Here is a 19975-nt window from a genome sequence, read left to right as displayed (position 1 = left end):
AGAGAGAGTGTGTGTGTGTGTGTGTGTGTGTGTGTATAGTATGCCATATTTGTGATTTCATGGATATTCTTGTTTAGGATGAGGATAAATTTATTTAAGTAATAAAAGTGATACCATATGTAGAGAAATACTTAGTAAATATTAGTACAGGTGGTACACAGATGTAGCTAATGAATCATGACTCTAGTACATGAGGACTGAAGCTTGGGATACACTGTTGTAATACATGGCATCTTTTACTTGCATCGGGGGGCCTCTGGGGAGAGCTGTAGGATGTGGTTGTTGGTCCATTCCAAGTGATCTCCAAGGAGCCTCCATGTTGTTTTGCCTTGGTTCTGCCATAGCATCAGTAAGCACATCTTGGAGCTAAGGATTCTGAATAAAACCAGCCCCCTCCTACCCCCAACAGTTCCACAGCTGCATCTCTTGATGAAAGCCCAAGGCGTGAGCAATAACTCTGCACCAGCAACTCGAGTTTTTAAACATTTAAACATGTGTAGCAGGTGTGAATGTTATTCTATGATATGCAGATGCAAGAAATTTCACATCAATATATTTGTTTGTTTGTTTTTAGAGTAGAAGTAAATCTAAATCTGAGTCTTGTCTCTTGGAGTGGGAAAGAATTAGATCGCACTTGTAATGGGGGTTCACTCGACCTTGGCTCCCAGCCCAGGGCCTGGGGGAGATCCAGGCCATTTGGTGGGAGCCCTCTGGACTGTGGTCCACACTGGCCACTGCTGATGGGTCCTCTGTTAGTATCCATCAGGTACTGGGCCCTTAAAATCAGGCAATGTCTCTGTTTTCACTGACTTGGGCTTGGGGATCCCTTCCCAAGCTGGGAGTGATGGCATGATTTGGGACATCACACAGCTGTGCCAGCTGAGAGCTTGTCACTCCCCCACTAAGCCTGCCCCCTTGCCAGGAATTCCAGCTGAGTCCTCACTACTCCAGACAATCCCTCCCTTTTCATTCTAGAGGAATCCCCCTCCTGCTTAATCTTGACTGTGTCTGGAAGCCCTTCACCCTCACCCCTGTCTCCAAAGGCACTCACCTGGCTCTCCTCCCATATGTGTTGATCTAGCCTTGTGCCCTCAGTGACAGCAAAAGCCAGAAAGTGTGGGGGTGGGGTGTTTTTGCAACTTCTGTTTAAACCATCACATACAAACACCCCTGAGGCAAAGGGGCACGAGGTCTTCTTAGAATAAGGGAGAGAAAATCAAACACAGATTAATATCTCTATCAACAATTCTGTCATGTGAAGGAAAAATTCGAAATTTTTGTATATGCATAAAGGGTATGTTATAATATGACACATACATACACACACGTATTCAATTCAGAGGCTCAGAAGTGTGTTCAAATAGGCATATGTATTAAGCATGGTTTCCCGTTGTTACCAGAGTTGGCATGGAATTATAGAATCTAAATGTTATGCTTGTATAGGCCTTAACAATTATCTCTTCCAAATGCATTTTATCCAAAAATGCAGTAGGTATTTGGGGCCACAAAGCACTGTTTCAGTTGAATTTGCAAAAGCATTCAAACTGGGAGAAAATAATAGAATCAGCCCAGTTTCTGGTCTAACCTTTGGTTCATTTGCATCACTGCCCCTTCAGTATTGATGTTTTAAAACTCAATGGCTACCCTGATCCTTTGCTCTTTGCATTCAGCCCCATTCCTCATTGCCCTGCTCCCCTCTGCATCAAAGGGCAGATTGACCTCTGCCATCTAGGGTCCAGCGATCCCTGAAGGGCCCTTTCCTCAATGGATCCAGCTGGACAGCCCACCATTGGACCGGATGTCAGGGTGCTCCTGGCCTCCAGCTGAGCAGCACCTCTTCCTTTCATCACTCCAGCCCCATGGCAGGGTGCAGCATCTTTCGGTTGCTAAATCCACATTCCTCTTCTAACACTTTTGAAAGTAATGCTCCAATTTAATATTAATTCCTAGATTGAATTACCTGACTCTATCATACCTTGCTCTCTTAGCTGAATCCTGATTCAAAGGGGGAAGATAAGTCTATTAAGTTTCAGAGACTAAAATTTGTAGGTCAGAAGCTTAGATTCTATATAGAAATCCACAGGAACAAATAATAATACCTTTCATTTTTGTCATTCAATAGTTATAGATCTATTCTTCTTTTGCAGGCTTAAGAGCAAAGAGTGTGCACTCATGGAGTTACATTCTAGCAAGGAACAGGCCAACTGAAAAGAAAAGTAAAAGAATATCAGGCACTGAGAAGTGCTGTGCACAGGAGTAAAATAGGATGGTATTTTAATATTTGGGGAAGGCCTTGTAATTACTATAAGCTTGGATGTAGCTTTCAAAGACACTGAAGCCCTATACAGTCATCCCTCAGTATATGTGGAGGATTGGTTGCAGGACCCCCATGTATACTCAAATCAGCACATATATACAAAAAGTCTGCCCTCCATATACATGAGTTTCACATCCTGCAAATGTATTCTCAGTCTGTGTGTGGTTGAAAAAAATCCGTGTATAAGTGGACCCACACAGTTCAAACCTGTGTTGTTCAAGGGTCAACTGTACTGTTTTTGCTGCTGCTTCAGATTCTACTTACCAAAGGTCACAAATTAGGGCTACATTTGGAATCTAAATATGTTGTTTTCCATGTGCAGTATTTTATTTAAACAAAGCAGAAAAGGCTAGGCTGGGCATGGTGGCTCACACCTGTAGTCCCAGCACTTTGGGAGGCCCACCCAGGTGAGCGGATTGTTTGAGACCAGGAGTTCAAGACCAGACTATGCAACATGGTGAAAGCCCATCTCTACCAAAAATAAAAGCAAAATTTAGCCAGGCATGATGCCGTGGGCCTGTAATCCCAGCTATTCAGGAAGCTGAGTTGGGAGGGTTGCTTGAGCCAGGGAGGCTGATGTTGCAGTGAGCTGAGATCATGCCACAGCATTCCAGCCTGGGAGACAGAGTGAGACCCTATCTCCAAAGAAAAAAAACACACAAAAACCAAACAAGTTTAAAGGTCTTCTTGTGGAACATTTACTGTCCAGTGTGTGGTAGTTCCCATAACTATTTCCAATTGTTTTATATTACAGCCTCACCAGCTTACCATATCTACATGAACTCCAAATGCAGTTCCAATGTGAATTTGAGATCATTTTAATTTGCTTAGCATCACTTCCGTTTGAGAACTTACCATATACCAGATACTGCTGAACAGTTCATCTTCACAACATACTTTGTGAAGAAAGTATACTAACTCTAATTTTCAGACCACATTGCTTAGACCTAGAGATTACATGCCTAAAACTATATAGCTAGTGAGTAGTAGAAATAGGACTGTTTGCTTACTACTAAAGCCTATCTCTTAACTGAGTTGAATTGAACGAGCCTGTGATAGATATCCGTGGTGTCTTATTTGTGTTAGCAATGCCTCCCCAACCTGATAAGTTCCTTGAAGACGAGTTAGTTACTCGTCTAAATCCCCACATTATCACAATAGAAACTAAACACAAATTATGAAATTATAATTTTATAAAATTATAAACCATAAAAGTGAATTGATTAGAGATAAAACAACAAATCATAGCTTTGAATATTCCCAGGTTTGTCTCTGAAGTTGATCAGAGATTCTTCTGATAAGCAAAATAACTTAGCAGGTTTCTGCCCAATGGCACAAAACAGACACATGAAATGCCAACTGTTTATCCAGATGATTAGAAAACAGCCAGTTTGAAGAAGTGAAAAGCCTGAGTTTCAAAGTGGCTTATTAAAATCAAGTACAACAAGAAACTAAAGGTAAACTTTTTGACATTACCATGGCAAAGTGAGAAAGAAAGGATGACATGTGTAAGTAGGTTGTGTTTTCAATGTAGTGTTATCAATTTCTCTTTCTTGGGAAGGATGATCCCTCATTGTGAAATTATGTCCATCCTACTTTTTAGGCTTAAATTTTTTAAAATTGAAATGTAGACGATAGTCAAGTGGTATGTGTGTGTGTGTGTGTGTGTGTGTGTGTGTTAGTATCCTTTCATGGTAGAATAAAAATTAACAACTTATTAGTACCTAAACATTCCTTGAAATTTTACTAGTCCATGAGATCCAAGTCTGATAACCTCTGCCTCTGATAAAAGATCAACTTAAACAAGCTGATGTATTTATCATATCACTTACTTGTTAGGATAATATTTACATTGTTATTAAGGTATCATAGATATATGTCGATATAACTAATCAAATTTATATTGAACACTTGCTATATACCAGTTTTTAGTCAAATAGTTTAAATGTCTCTTTGAATTTTGTTTTTTAGGTATTGCGTGGGTAAATTTCAACCTAGCTCTTCCCTGACCTATATTTTCTAAAATTCACCATTGTAGGGTTCAAATTATGTGTTATTTCATTTAAGTGTGTGTGTGTGTGTATATATATATATATAAAATAACAGTTTAGACATAATCCCATATCAGTTAGGATTTTTATGTTCCATGCAATTTTATGTTAAGAAAAGTCAACCCAAACAATCTTGTACAAATGCAATCTATTGTCTCCATATTTTAAAACTTCAAAGGTAGATATGGCTTTAGAGATTTTGATGTGGCCTTAACATGTAACCCAGATACTGTTTCTTCCTTTACACTTCTGAGCTCCATTTCTCACAGGTTGGCTCCATCCTCAGGCATGCTGTCTCCTTAGGCTTTCAAAATGATGGCCAGCCACTTCGCAGAACTAAGCTGGGAGGAAAGAGCAAAATCCAGAGACTGAGCCTGCTGGCTGATTTGGCTCCTATGCTCATGCCTGCACCAACCTCCAGGGCTAAAGGGGTGGAATGCACAAATGGCCTTAGCCTGGGTCACAAGTGCCATCTTGCTGGGCCTGAAGTGCAGCCACTTCACTGTGGATCCCCAAATGGAAGTTGGGGCTGTTGGGGAGAGGAAATGGAGGAATGAGTATAGGAAACCAACTAACAAATGTCCACTACGAGCTGTTTACTGGGGGTAGGAAATAAACAGCTTGTCTTTGAAGCTCATTTTCTTTACACAATTACAATCATTTGGTGTTTATTTTCTTCAGTTGTTATCAGGATTACATTGCAATTGATATTTCAAAATTGCCCTGAGTGGATAGCCGAGAAAACCTTCGTAGTGAGATAAATCTGTACAAAGACAAGGTGGTAGAGATTTCTCACTTCTTATACCCCTGTTGTAAGTTTACCATTTGAATAAAAATGGACAGATTCAATTGCAAAGTCATTGAACTATTGCTGACTCTTGTTTCCTTTTAGGAAAACCACAGGTTCTTTAGGAAAGTCAACTTTTCTCCCTCCAATAGTTAATGCTGTTTTCCCAACTGTTCCCCTTCTGTATGACCCTTTTCTTTCCAGATTTAAAATCTCTTCATATGTGCCTTTTAAAACATCTTGTTAAACTTTCCATTCATCAAATAAATACCAGATGATAGGGACTGTGCCCTTTTCCATACTTTTTGCCATGTGGATAATAAATACATCTATTTACTTCATTTTCCATCAATTAAAAATACTACAGTGGCTTTTTATTTAATCGATTATATGGAAGTTAGAGGGGATGGGAATGGAACATTATTAGACTTCTTGTTTGCGAGTACTTGGACATTAGTAAACTTCTCTTGGAGATCCAGTCCAGGAAAATAGATTGCTGGCCAGAAATAGAAACAGCATTTTTTCCCCTTAATAAAGGAAGTCATTGTTTAAAATAATACTTAAAAATTTTAAAAAGACTAATTGTCCCTTTCCTTTTTAAGAGTATTTTTGAACATACTTTTAAAAGACTCTTGGTATCTTCATATTATTTTACAATTATGCAGTGATTTTTTAATGCAGAGCGTGTATTGAAGTCTATTATTCCTTCCCGCCCAAGTTGAGTGTATAAGTTGTGGGTGATTTTTGCTCTCTTTCCAGCTGTGTCATAGAATCACACAAATGAGTTCATACTGGGGCTTAGTGCTTGTAGATTTTCCATTTTGTTTGCTTTTTGCTGTTTTCAGTGTATTGTTAGGTTAAAGGAATGCTTCTATCTTTGATTACTCCCTGGTAATGGGGACATCTTTACCCTGGAAAGCAGGAGGTAATGAAGAACAGGTGTTCAATGTGAACTTTCAGTTTTGTTTTCTCAGAAATGTGCCCAAAAGTAGGGCAAAGCTTTCCAAGTTTTTTAACGCAGATTATTGTATTGATAGCTGCAGTATTTCCCCTGGTCTCCCTCCAGCACCCATATCCCAGGCCTCTGAGTTTGACAGCACTTGAAGGAGCCATGAAAACTTGCTAACTTACAATTGATAAGTTGATCAAATGAATTTATGCAAGACAGTGAGTGCCCAGCATCTCTGCCTCAATGTTTACACAGGATAATCTCCTAGAACGTAGCAAAGTTTTCATTTGTGGTAAGAAATAGATGTTGCTTCCCTTCAGAATCTGAAATAAGATTAGACAAAAAATTCTAGAGATAAAATTGTCAGGATGAATTTTGCTTAAATATCTGAGGGCCGGAGGAACATTTACTCTTCATAAATAAGATTTAGCCCCCATAGTCAACTTCCAGGGAACATCTCTATTTTTTCAAGGTCTTTTTTTTCATCATATGCCTGCCTCAGGGTGCTGAACTTTGGACTGTAAGGTCAGGCAAGTCTCCATCTTTTTATCCTGCAACAGGCCTGACAGTCTTTGGGACTCCTTTTCCTAATGCAGACGTTGTAGTTTGAGTCACAGCAGCTACGGAGTGCTTTCCACTCGAGCAAGGGTAGACTTGCTGGCTCTCAACTTCGCTGTGGCACAAATGCAGTACTCACCGAGGCCAGTTCTGTAGCATCTCTGGTGCAGCGTCACCCTTTTCCTAATATATTCTTTTCATTTTTTTATTGGTAAAATATACATAACATAAAATTTACCATTTTTAACTATTTTTTAAGTGTACAGTTCAGTGGCATTAAGTACATTCACATTGTTGTGCAACCATCACCACCATCCATCTCCAGAGCTTTTTTCGTTATTTCAAACTGAAACTCGGTATCCATTAAATGATAACTACCATTCCTCCTTCACCCGAGCCCCTAGCAACCACCATTCTACCTTCCGTCTATACGAACTTGACTATTTTAGGTGCCTCATATAAATGGAAATCATTCAATCTTTACCCTTTTGTGTCTGGCTTATTTCACTTAGTCTAATGCCCTCAAGATTCATCCACGTGTCAGAATTTCCTTCCTTTTTGAAGCTGAATAGCATTCCCCTGTGTTTATATATCACATTTTGTTTATCCATTCGTCAATGGACACATGGGTTGCTTCCACCTATTGACTATTGTGAATAATGCTGCCATGATTGTGGTTGTACAAATACCTGTTCAGATTCCTGCTTTCACTTCCTTTGGGTATATACTTAGAAGTGGAATTGCTGGGTTACATGGTAATTCTGTGCTTAGTATTTTTAGGGATTGTCATACCACTGTACACAGTGACTGCCCTATTTTACATTCCCACCAGCAATCTGTAAGCTACTTTTTAGCAGACATAATTCCCATCACACCCTACTCTCAACAATATAAAACCAGTATTCATCTGATTCTTTTCTTAATTTAAAATTAAAAATTTTAAAAATATTTATTTGTTTATTTAATGTCTTTATTTTTTAGAGACAAGCTCTTGCTCTGTTGCCCAGGCTGGAGTGCAGTGGCACTATCATAGTTCACTGCAGCCTGGAACTCCTGCGATCAAGCAGTCCTCCCTCCTCAGCCTCCAGAGTAGCTGGGACTACAGGTGCACCACCATTCCTGGCTAACTTTTTAAAAAAATTTTGTAGAGACAGGAATCTCACTCTCTTGCCCAGGCTGGTTTTGAAACTCCTGGCCTCAAGTGATCCTTCCACCTCAGCCTTCCAAAGTACTGGGATTACAGGCATGAGCTACCACGCCCAGCCTGATTCTTGTCAGTAAAGGTTTTTCTCCATTTTTGGGGTGAGGGGGAAAGTTGGACACTGCACTTATATTGTCGCCACGGGAAGCAGAAATGTATCAAAAGAAGACAAGAAGAAAAAAGCAAAAACTATGGCAAAATGCAGAAGAAAAGCCAGCATTCACAAAGGATACAGGACCCTCTGGATTTAAACAGAAAATGCTATAAGCAGGGTGTGAAACTCCCATCTGTCCATTGCTGCTTCCTTTTAGGGTGTACCTGATCTTGTGTGTGCCAAGTACAAAATGCCCCGTGTGCCTTTGTAACGGCCAAGCTCCCAGTGCTTTCTCATTCCCACAGTGGCCATGTGGTCTACAAAGTGAAGCAGACGCCAGGCTGACTCTCAAATAAAGCCTCCTTGCTGCTGTTTGCCTCCAGATAGTTCAAGCCATTTCCTTTCATTTTTGGAAAAAAAGAGTGTCAGTTTGGCTTTCTGAAAACAGTTGCCACCTTTGGGCAAAGCTAATTAACTACAATACACATGTTCAGTTCAGGATTTCCAAAGAGAAAGAAATGTTTGATACTGGTGTATGTTACCCAACCTGACCACACATATGGCAGGTTTGGGCCAAGAGGAGGGAGCAGGAGGACATTAGTTCTGATTTCAGGTAACTGTTAACTCGTTCTACTTCTTGGAATAATATGATACCAGAGAGAGAGAGCTTCTATGTGAAGCTTTGTGGATTTGAAAACTGCTATACTGAATATTTTATGATCTTGTCAAGGCCTCCCCTTATCATGTGACCTCAAGGCGCTACCATGGCTTTCATCTTGTGAAGTCTTGAACATTTGTAGTTGCAGAAAAACCTCAAGAGACTCAGTATTTCAAAAGCCATAGTTTAGGTTTTATTTTCTAGGCTGGGATGTTTGTGGGTTTTCTTATTATAAAATTAGAGTTGTCATAGTGATGTTGTGTATTTCAAACCAGATATTCTGTGGTCGCAGCAAAGTCTCACTTTAGGAAATGGATTTCTTTATGAATGTGCTAACATTGTGCACAGAAAGTAGCACAATACAGATAAACAGGCATCTTTGGTAGGTGGGGTGTTTGGGTAAATTTAAATTTCTGAGGATTGAACAAAAACTCCTTTACCTTAAGAACTGTGCAAGCACTTTGGGAGGCCGAGGCGGGCGGATCACGAGGTCAGGAGATCGAGACCATCCCGGCTAAAAAACGGTGAAACCCCGTCTCTACTAAAAATACAAAAAATTAGCCGGGCGTAGTGGCGGGCGCCTGTAGTCCCAGCTACTTGGGAGGCTGAGGCAGGAGAATGGCGTGAACCCGGGAGGCGGAGCTTGCAGTGAGCCGAGATCCCGCCACTGCACTCCAGCCTGGGCGACAGAGCGAGACTCCGTCTCAAAAAAAAAAAAAAAAAAAAAAAAAAAAAGAACTGTGCAAAATTGTCCTAAAAAAATTTAAGTAGTCTAGTCTCTAGATGTCCGTAGTTAACATAATTTTATTGTTCTCACTCATCCAGCTTTAGAACACATGGTTCCTGAATACAAGTCTCAGCTTTGACCTCAGTGCTTGTTAACCCAGTGCCTCAGCCCTTCTTAGACATGAATCAGAACCTTTGGTGGTAGAGCAGGAAATTGGCACTTTAGCACCCAGGGTGATTTTTATGCCTACTAAAGTGTGAGAACAACTGACTTTGAAGCTGTAGGTGTTTGGGTTGGTGGCGTATTTATCCCTAGAATTGCTCCGTGTAATTTGATGATGAGGACATCTTTCTGTTTCTTTCCTCCAAAATGGAAGGCAAACTAAATTAAAATCCAGTTAATTCAGGTTCTGAGTTGATTGGGACATGGATAATTGTGATCTTTTTGCTGATTTCTAAAATATTTTCCCTTCATTATCTGTTGGATTTCAAGTGCATTCTGCTCTGTGTTATAGAATGAGGGTTGATGTGAAACTTAGGGAGACTCCAATTATATACATGGTTCAATTACTGGTTCCATAATTTAGGGTGTCCTCTTTTCCCATTGACTTTCACTTTCTTCGTACTTAAATGGCAAGGTTGTACTCTCTGATCTCAGTGTTTCTTTCCATCTCTAGCATCTTATGATTTCCTTCTTTATTTTCTAACTTTTTCTCTTCCACCCTCAAAACATTTTCTCCATGCATAGAACTAGAAAGGCCCTTTGAGATCATTTCATCTTAATCTCTCATTAGGCACGAGAGAAAATAAGCTGAGGAACAAATTGGAGATGCTGCTTTGAAAGAGCCCACATGAGAGCCTGGGGCTTCAGCTCTCACAGTAGAGCTCCTTGCACTGTGGCATGAATTGCTTATCGTATGTGGGGCTCCATTTCTTACATTCCAGCCCTGCCCGATAAGTATTTGGTACGGCAGCAGCAGAGGTTGCTCTCAACATTTGGACATTAGGAATTTAATGTGTTAGGATTGATTCATATGTGTCATCAAATTGTATCTGGGGACAGAGATTCTGGGGAGACTCACGTATGAGTTTGGCTGGCCACAAGTAAACCCCAGATGACTCTTGTTACTAATTCTAGAATACCCAAACAGCATATATTGTGAACTTTTTTGCAGTGTACTTGAAAGGGCATGACCTTTGCACTCCGAACTATGTTCAAATCCTGGTTTGGGAATTTATTAACTGTGGAACCCTAGGCAGGTTACCTTACCTCTCTGAGCCTTATCAACATAAAGGTTGTGAAATAACTAGTTTGTGGATTAAATACGATCTTACATGTAACGATTCCTGGAATTTAATGGGCACCAAGTAAATACCAGCTCATGGATCTTTCTTTACTTGTTGGTATTATTAGAGTTTGAAACTTTGCAAACTTGGGACACATACCAACAATTTGAAAATACAAAGGGGGTAATTTTAAGCTTCTTGCGATATCAGCTTTCAGCAATTTAAAAAGAAGGAACTGTTTTTTTTTTTTTTTTGGAAAATTAGGAAGTCAAAATGCCAGACTCATCTATAAATGCGAAGCTCTTTTTGAGCTTTTATAGTACGGGCTTATGACATCAGTAAGGATCCAGCCCCTTCATTATTGGAACCTGTCACAGACCAGGGCAGGAAACCTCTCCCTTATTGTGTCTCCACTTTTTCTTGTTCTCAGAGTTCCTTTAGAACATGTCCAGGGAACATTGCTGGATGTGCATTCTCAAAGCATGTTGCTGTACTCCATAAATGCTGATAAGCTTTTTCCCCAGACCAACAGAAGTCATATAAGTGAAAGGACAGAGAAGAAAATTTATCAAAGAAAGAGTGAGAAGAAGATTGACCCCCACCAGGAATGGAATTTTCTCTCTATAGCTTACTCCTCTTGATGAAGTATTAATTTTTAACAGGAATACGGATCACTTTTTTCCAGGTGTGAATTAGTTCCTATTGTGAAGTATTTGTCATTCCAAACCATTTTTGTTCTTATTGCTAGCTGTATGATTGCATGAATAATTAGTGCCCATGGAGTGCTTTAAGAGCCTAACCTTCCTGGAAAGACAGTGCTAGTGTAAAGGGTCTTATATATGAAACCATTATGGCACTGTTTAAGGCACTGGAAAGGTCCAGAATATTCTGTACCCATGAGAAAAAACTGGGCTAAAAAACAGAAAGTGAGTGCTAGGCTACTTCTTTTTAGTCCTCTTTCTATTTGATTCTTAGGGTTACAGAATATCAGGATTGTAATATTGCTTAAAGTTTATCTAACCATCAAGTACATGGATTCCTCTACAACAGTCCTGTACTACACACACACAGACACACACACACACGCACACACACAGGATTGGGGAGAAACACAGAGAAAGAGAGAAAGAAAATGAGAATGAATGAATTTATCAACTCTGCTTTACCGCCCAAGTGATGTATGGAATGTGACCCCAACATCTGTTACCCCATATATGGTCAAGATTGATTTTTGTTGGTTGGGTACCAGTCCCTCTTCTGCTCATTGCCATGTGTTTATTCCCCTCAACTGAACCATTCATCAGTTAAGGATATGTGTCCTACTCAAACCCCTTTTCTTTGAACCCACATCCATCTAATGTCTTTGTTCACATGTCAGACAGCTCCTCAAATAGTCAAAGGGAACTTGGCATTTTCCTTAATCGTCTCTTCTCCAGTTGAATTTTCCCAGATTCTTCATTCATTCCTTATTTTTGAGAATGACCAGCAAAACTAAAGGAATGGCTGTAGGTTCCTTCCATTATTTATATAATGCAGCTTTTCCATAGAGAAGCAATATTTATAAAGGACAAATAAAGACATGTCTGCAGAGACAGTGAAATTCTTAGAAAGTATGCTGTACTTGAAAGGCAAGACACAGAGGTTTTGAATGCAAGCTGTGATGAAACATTACCCAGGGCAGCGTCCTGTCTGTGTTAGAGTGGAGAAACAGAGTCATGGAGCCTCTTGGTCAAAGCGTCACTATGTCAATCTTGCAGAGCAGAACGGCTGTCAGGTTAACGAGTGCTGCATGTGCCCAGAGGCAGTTCTGAGCATGGTAGGACTACCCAGGTGAGGGCTCTTTACCTTTGTGAGTGGGGAGCTCCCATACCTCATCATGTTAAGCCAAGCTGATCTGGAAAGGGACACATTCCAGGGGAGAATCGGGATGCTTAATTGATTTACACCGTTGATGAAGCGCACAGGCATGAATTCTGGTTGCCTACCATCCCATATGGGGAGGAAAGCGTAAGTTGTAGAAGCCACCTTTTGGCATTAAAAAACAAAGGGCGCTGGAGTAACATAAGGATATATACTTAGCTTTTTCTTTTTAATGTATGAATGGAAAACACCTTTTATGCTTCAAATGTATATTTTAATAATAAAAATAGAACTATTGCCAAAATTCACTCCAGAAGGCAGCCTTTTTTCTTAAAGCACAAAGAGAAAGAGAGGAGAGATCAAGTGTCTTCTCTTTTCCATGATAATTGCTTGTAGTCCCTGCTAACTGGCCTTTTGACAGGGTCACTGGCAGAGCTTGTGGGCCCCCTTGGCGATGTTGGTTGGTGGGACAGAGTATGGGCCAGTGCCTCAGCAGGAATGGGGCAGAAAACAGTAGGCTGGTTCCCAGGCCTGTTTGCTCTGAGCACCAGCCAAGCCAGGGTTGGTTTTTGCTCACCTGTCATTGCAGCAATATGTAGTGACGTTTCAAACTGCTAGCATGGAAACAAGGTAAAAACTTCTTGGGACAACTGGGAAATTTCATTTAGACAGAATGTCAGACCTTAGCCTCCAGTGTAAATACTAGAGGCTTTGCTCTGTCCAGTTATGCAGTAGCATTTGGTGTGGAATTAAATCAGAGGCTAGTGAAAATCCAGGCAGGATCTAAATGTGTTGAGTACATTTAAGTTTCTTCTCTAATTTAGGAAACCTTATGCTTCTCCACCCTTTGGCACTGACAACTACCTGAAAGAGGCCCTAACAGTCTTGAATAGGAATATGATCGCTAGATTCTCTATCACAGAATAAAAAATGAAGAGCTTATAGGCTCTCTGATTTTTTTTAAGTGCTTTGGTCTTCAGAATCTGGCCCAGCACTAGTTGTTTTGATTTGCCCAGCAACCTAACCCATATTCTTGAATAAGCAAGCAGGATTTCAGCTCTAGAAGGGTGAGCTGCATATATTCACACACCATTCTATTCATTTTTCAGATACAGGATTTTTTAAAAAGGAGAGAGAACAGGGTCATTTTCATTCTATTGCAAACGCTTTTTATGTTTCAGGGATCAAATTATCAAATTTCAGGCAACTTTTTTTTTAAACTAGGTCATGACTTTCAAAGGCCATCTTTATTATCCTCAGCAGAAACATTAAACTTGTAAAAAAAAATTTATAATTTTTTTTCCTCTGGTGATTTTTTTTCTTTTATTTCCACCCCCACACATACAAAAAATGCTCGGGGAAAATGTTTGCCTTCACTTCCTGCTATTCAGCACTGTGTATTGTTAAACTGATGTAGTGTTTATACACATCGTGGTTATGGCTGTAGCCCGGCTATTGTTGAAGGATGTTAGACAGCCATTTATCACAGTACGCCAGTAAACCCATTGTAAAAATGTCCTACTAGTTAAATGAGGCTTAGATTTAATGAGGCTGTAAGAGCAGAACGGGATTTTGACATACTGTAAATAAGGTTCCTATAGAAATGTCATCAGGATTAAGGTGCAGATTCCTTTTGTTTTCAAGCAACAATAGTCTCCTTGCCAAGGTAAAAAGAAGCCCCCTCCCTTTTAAATGAATCTTTTGAGGAAGTTGTTGTTTGCTCAGAGGAATGCATGAAACAAGGGTGTGTGGCCAGGAGATGACAAGATCAGAGATGACTTCTTTGGGAAAGAGACGACACTCCCCAGAACTCCTTTGTATATCACAGCCACACCTGGAGCCCTCAAAGCCTCCTTGTTCATACCTGCTGCTGCATGTGAATGCCATTCAAATGTGGTCCCAGTCCCCTCCTCAAGGAGGGCAAAGCCAGCCTCAGAAAGACTTAGTCTGAGATTCCTGGCCAGCCTTTGAAGAGAGTAATCAAGTTAGACATAGCAGGAGGGCATTTGCCCTTTCAAGCCAAGTGGGGAAACAGAGCCAGTCTTCTTTGCTTGATCTTATCAGTGTTCAATGAGATCTACCATTTTGAAATCACAGAACAAACTGTAGAAAATGACCAGAAATTCTTGTGCATTCAATTTTCCCCATGGGAAGGAAAAATCAGTTATTTCCCCAATGTCTAAGGAAATGAATTCAGAGAGAACGTCTCCATACGCAGCCAGAAGTAGGTACGTAGGGCTTGGCGTTAACCACTGGGGTTGCAGTACACTATTTACAAAAACAGGCAGTCTTGAAATTGCCCTATTGGAGAGAAATTTGATTGTCCCAGAAATAAAATAAAGTGGTCTCCGTCTTCATTTTGCTAGGGCTCCTGGAAAGCCTCAATTCAAAGAGATCAGTGTTGAAAAAGACTAAATTGAAGGATAGCTTGAGAGCCAATAGATGATCTAGAGGCAACCCATCCACATCTGCAGTTTCCTTAGTATCTTTCTGAACCTGGAACGCTTTAGAGGTGTGGAGTCTTCTTCGACTGAGTCTTCAATTTGACATAACAGTGTATCCCTTTAGGCTTGAACCCCGAACTCACAAGGTCTTAGGGAATCTGTTGCTTCTATTTTGGTGGTCACCAGAGGCTTAATTTTAGCTGCTGAGAGATTAGTCTTTTATATTTATTTAATGTTCTCAGTGGGGGAAGAAAAGTTCAAGGGTTGTGTTTGCCTTCAATGCTCACTGCACATAACTCATTTTGCATCCTTGCAGCAAATGCCTGCTAACTTCATCAGGAAGTCACATTTGGGCAAGGTGCAGTATGTGCTGGGCATTCTTAGCTAGAAGGGCCCTTTCTGCAATGTCTCCATCTTTAGCTGCCCCCACCAAGGCTCTTTTTTTTTTCCCAGATCCCTCTTTTGCTGTAAGTTTCCACCATCCTTTTTGCAGAGCCACGTAGAATAATGTTGGCAGAGAAACTTAGCGATGCTCTCTTAGCTCTTTTATCCTAATAGTGGTTTCTGTATCCTCACACTGCTAGACAGAATATCTTTCTCAAGACAACCAAAGGCAGCTTTTTCAAGAAAAGGATACAGATCTGGATGCACAACAGTGAATCAGGCATAATCCTGCCACTCCAGAGCTCATGAACCAGTGCAGTCATTCTCAAGCTTTAGCGTGTGCAGTACATACCTTACCCCCAGAGGTGTGACTTAGTAAGTTCGAGTTGGACCCCAAAATCTTCATTTCTCACAAACACTGCAGTGATTTTGATGCGAAAAACCTCAAGAGAAATACTGATGTAGTGAGGCAGAGGGAACACAGAAACATCATGAATTACAAAACTGCAGGAACCGCCTGAAGGAAAGTCAGAGTGCTGTGGGAATGGAGAAGGTATGGGTGCCACAGGATGGGCCTGGGCAGGGCCCACAGACACGATCGTGTTTAAGCCAGATCTTGAAGGATGACTCAACTGTGGACCCTTGGCAGTGCTAGAGGGAAGGCCTTCTGAACAGGAAACAAGATCAAGGTGACTGAGGTGAAAGGGGAAAGGGCACATAGGGGTCAGTGCAGCCAGAGTGCTGGGTGCAGGGAGGATTCTGTTTGGAGCTCAAGAATTTGGAGTTTAGTCTTAGGCAGTGAGAAGCCCTTGAAGATTTTTAAGTAGAGAAGAGAAATAATCTGCTTTCTGCTTTCTTTCCACAGTGACCACAAGTGAAGCTGAGGTGGCTTTGGGCAGCATTAAGTGAACAAAAAGGGCAAAATGAGAAGAGGCAGGAAATGGGAATCGTTTTACGGCTCCCTCCTACTTCCCACATTTCTTTGAGGCCGAATTAATTGGTGTGATTCCATTCTCAATTTAAGAAATCAAGGTTAAATGACTTGCCCACAATTGCATTGAGCTGGAACTAGGGCATAGGTCTGCTGTCTCCAGATCTCCAGCTGACTTCCCACCGCAGCCTGTCAGTCAGTGAAATTAATCTGCAGTCATTCGCAGACACCTGAAAATGTCCCCTCCCACCCCTCAAATTGCATAATAATGAGTCCTACAGCAGAAAACAGTTGTATTCTTTCAAAAGTTTCTCTAATGTTTTTGAAATACACAAGGAAATAGTAAAAGTTAAGTGAACATTTGAAATACAGGCTTCTTTTATCATTAAAATAACGTCTCCCATGGAGTGAGAGTGAGGGTGGTAGTGGTGGGGTTCCTGAGATTCCAAATAGATTGTACTTCTGGCCCTAAAGATTCCTTATTAGCAAAATCTTTGAATCAGCCAGGTTTGAATGATAAATAAGAGGACACTGGGCATTTGGAATCTTCATTATCTATCATAACAAATATTGCCTCTGGCAAAGACCACATCCCTCAGTCTGAGCTCTCACTTCAAACTGCAGGGGGGCCAGGTTAGCAGTGGGAATTGCATTTCTAAGTCTTGACAGCCAAGGTCCTTAGACAAGAGGGGCCTAAGCTTTGTGACATCTAATCCTCGAATGTAACAAAAGCAGCTAAAAGGTGAAGAAGGGAAGCCCAAAAGGAGAAAAAAATAAGGGGGTGAGATACAGCTTCACATTGAGTTTCAAAGCTGGAAGACAGCTTATAGATCATGTAGTCAAAGTCCCCATCCTCATCTTTACAGAGAAAGAAGTCTAGTCCCAGAGAGGGGAACCGATTTGCCCAGACCCCTACAGCTAGTTAGGGGTGACGCTAGCATGAAGAAGCCACGTGGCTCTTGTCACCACACCAAGCTGTTGCTCTCATGTCTCATGATACAATTGTGCTCACAGATTATTTCCCATGGATCCACTGGGATAGTTTATGAATCCTTTAAATGCAAAAATTAAATAATACTGGGAAGCCAGAGAGCCTATGAGATCGGGTTCAGTATTTTTACTGTTTACTGGCTGTGTGGCCCTGAGCCAGATCTCCTCTGAGCTTATTACTTCTTCTGAAAAAGGGGGCTAATAATCTATCTGTACCCGATACAGAGTTTCTCTGAGGTTAAAATGTGTCATTTAATGTGGAAATGCTGTACAAACTGGAAAACTCCACTAAAACATATGCTGTTAAACTCTTAAATATAAAACTTGGGTGCTGAACAGGCCCCTAGGAAGTTCACATATGCAGCTATTATTTTTCTGTGAATTTGTTTATAGGGTGTTTAGAAGCACCTAGGAGTGGCCATATTGCTTATCCTATGAATGCAGGTTTTGGAACCAGAGTCAGCTATTGTCAAAAATCCCAGTTCCCCCATTTGCTCAATTCTGGTTATCAGTGGTTTACTTCACTTCTCCAAGTTGAGATCTTCATCTGTAAAATGAGACCAATAACTGCATCTAATTTATAGGAGAGTTGTGAGAATCAATGAGATAATATATACAAATTACTCTGTGTCACACCTGAAATAAAGGAATAACTTATACACAATGTCTATTTTTACTCATTTTGCTTTAGTTGTTGTCTTTATTATTCTGATATAGACAAGGAGTAGGACTCTTGGAACCCCATGAGGGCGGGTTTTAGGCTCTTTGATTAACCACTGCATCTTCAGGTCTGACAAGGCCTGGCAGTAGCAGATGCTCAATTAATATTTTGGAAAAAAGTAATGAGTTCATATTGTAGGGGAATAAAGAAGGGGGAAAAAAGACCCTTTCCTCTACCCTCTTATGTTTTGTGGCTGGCGCCTGTGAATTCAAAAGACACTAGAAAGGTTAGTAGGAGAAAAAACATACAGATTTAATTGATATTTTTAATTTTACATGCACAGGGGCTCCACAGAAAATTGAAAACCAAAAAAAGTGGTTTTGGGGGGCTTATACCATTGAACAAATGGCAGTAAATTGTGGAGATATGACTAGACAGAGGAAAGGGGGTTTGGGCATCTAGGGCAGATGAATTGTGAGAACATGACTTGGAAATTTTGGGGGAAACTAATGGAAGAGAAGGGTAATTTTAGTAAGGTCTGTTTAAGCAGACTTATCTTGGTGCTGGCTCCTCACTTCTCATGATAGGGTATCTCTCTTTATCTTGGTTTAGGAGGAAGGGAAATTTATACCACCATCACAAATGGAAGTTTATGCCCTGTTTTTAGGCAGAAAAGGGGAGAACAGATAACTTTTCCTGTATCTGCTGATTCTTTCTTTTTTTATTGAAACAAGGTTTTCCTCTGTCTCAGGCTGGAGTGCAGTGGCATGATCATAGCTCACTGCAGCCTCTACTTCCCGGGCTCAGGTAGTCCTCCCACTTCAGCCTTCCAGGTAGCTGGGACTCAGGCGCACGCCACCACACCCTAATTTTTGTGTAGAGACAGGGTTTTGCCATGTTGTCTCAGCTGGTCTCTGGTCTTCAACTCCTGGGCTCAAGTAATCTGTTTACCTCAGCCTCCCAAAGGGCTGGGATTCCAGGTGTGAGCCACTGCACCTGTCCTATCTGTTGATTCTCCGTTGCTTTCAGCTCAAAAATACTCCTTATGACAAAGCGGCATAGTTGGGGGTGGCATATCCTGGACTCCTTCAATATATAAACACAGCAGAACTTTAACATTTATGACATCCTGATTAATGTAATTTTTAGCTATACATAGGGGCATTCATTCATTCATTCATTCTCTTAACATTTACTGAGCAACTACCATGTTCCAGGCACTGTGTTTGATAGTGGATATAGATTAAGGAATAAAATAGACACAATCCCTGCTGTGGTAAACTTAAAATCTAGTAGAAGAGACTAAAAAACAGGCAAGTAAACAGATGACTAAAACAAAATAATCCAGAGTTATGAATTATGGTAAGTACTATGAAGGAAACATACAGCATGTGGTTAAAAATAGTGGGGAGTGGCCGGGGGTGGTGGCTCACGCCTGTAATCCCAGCACTTTGGGAGGCCGAGGCAGGCAGATCACCTGAGGTCGGGAGTTCGAGATCCTGACCAACATGGAGAAACCCCGTCTCTACTAAAAATACAAAATTAGCCAGGCGTGGTGGTGCTACTCAGGAGGCTGGGGCAGGAGAATCACTTGAACCCGGGAGGCGGAGGTTGCGGTGAGCCAAGATCATGCCATTGCACTCTAGCCTGGGTGACAGAGTGAGACTGTCTCAAAAAAAAAAAATAGTGGGGAGTGCTTCTCTGAGATTTCAAGAAAGGCCTTCTAAACATAAAAATGTTAATCCTTTGCCTTTCATCCTTGTAGAATAAAGTTATCATAAAAAGCCCATTTCCTTGTAGGTCAAAATAGACTTATAGCAGTAACCTCCTGAATGGCAGTTGTAAGGATAGATGTGATAAAGCCGTAACACTTTAGTGTGTAGCAGGATAATCTGTGGAACCCGTGTAACAATCAGAAGCCTGGGCTTCAGACCATAGATAGGGAGTGAGGCTTCTAGGTGGGACCCTGGCAAGGGTGTGTTTGTGGAACTCATCAGGTGCTCCTGCTGCAGGCTCAAGTCTGAGCGCCCAGTTCAATCCAGGGAGCTGTTGATTTCTTGGCTGGTTGACTTTGCTG

At 40.9% G+C, this 19975-nt stretch overlaps 1 protein-coding gene across 27 annotated transcripts in view; it reads left to right on the top strand.

The window, feature by feature from the left end:
- MPPED2 (metallophosphoesterase domain containing 2) overlaps positions 1-19975 on the top strand; it is a 202912-nt gene that overhangs the window by 118726 nt on the left and 64211 nt on the right. For 2 of the 27 annotated variants that reach the window (NR_165343.1, NM_001440303.1), the window contains one exon: positions 16182-17896. The exons of the other annotated variants lie outside the window; for them this stretch is intronic. Coding sequence is in view for 1 of the 2 variants with exons in the window: in NM_001440303.1 (NP_001427232.1) it covers positions 16182-16194 (13 nt within the window). In the remaining variant the exon portion in view is untranslated. Of the gene's footprint in view, positions 1-16181; positions 17897-19975 lie in introns of those variants that run through there. 27 annotated transcript variants of the gene reach the window in all.

This window comes from Homo sapiens, chromosome 11 (genome assembly GCF_000001405.40).
Source record: "Homo sapiens chromosome 11, GRCh38.p14 Primary Assembly".
In the NCBI taxonomy this organism is placed as follows: Eukaryota; Metazoa; Chordata; class Mammalia; order Primates; family Hominidae; genus Homo; species Homo sapiens.
The sequence above is the reverse complement of the archived record's forward strand: the minus strand, read 5'-3'. Positions and strand labels throughout refer to the sequence as shown.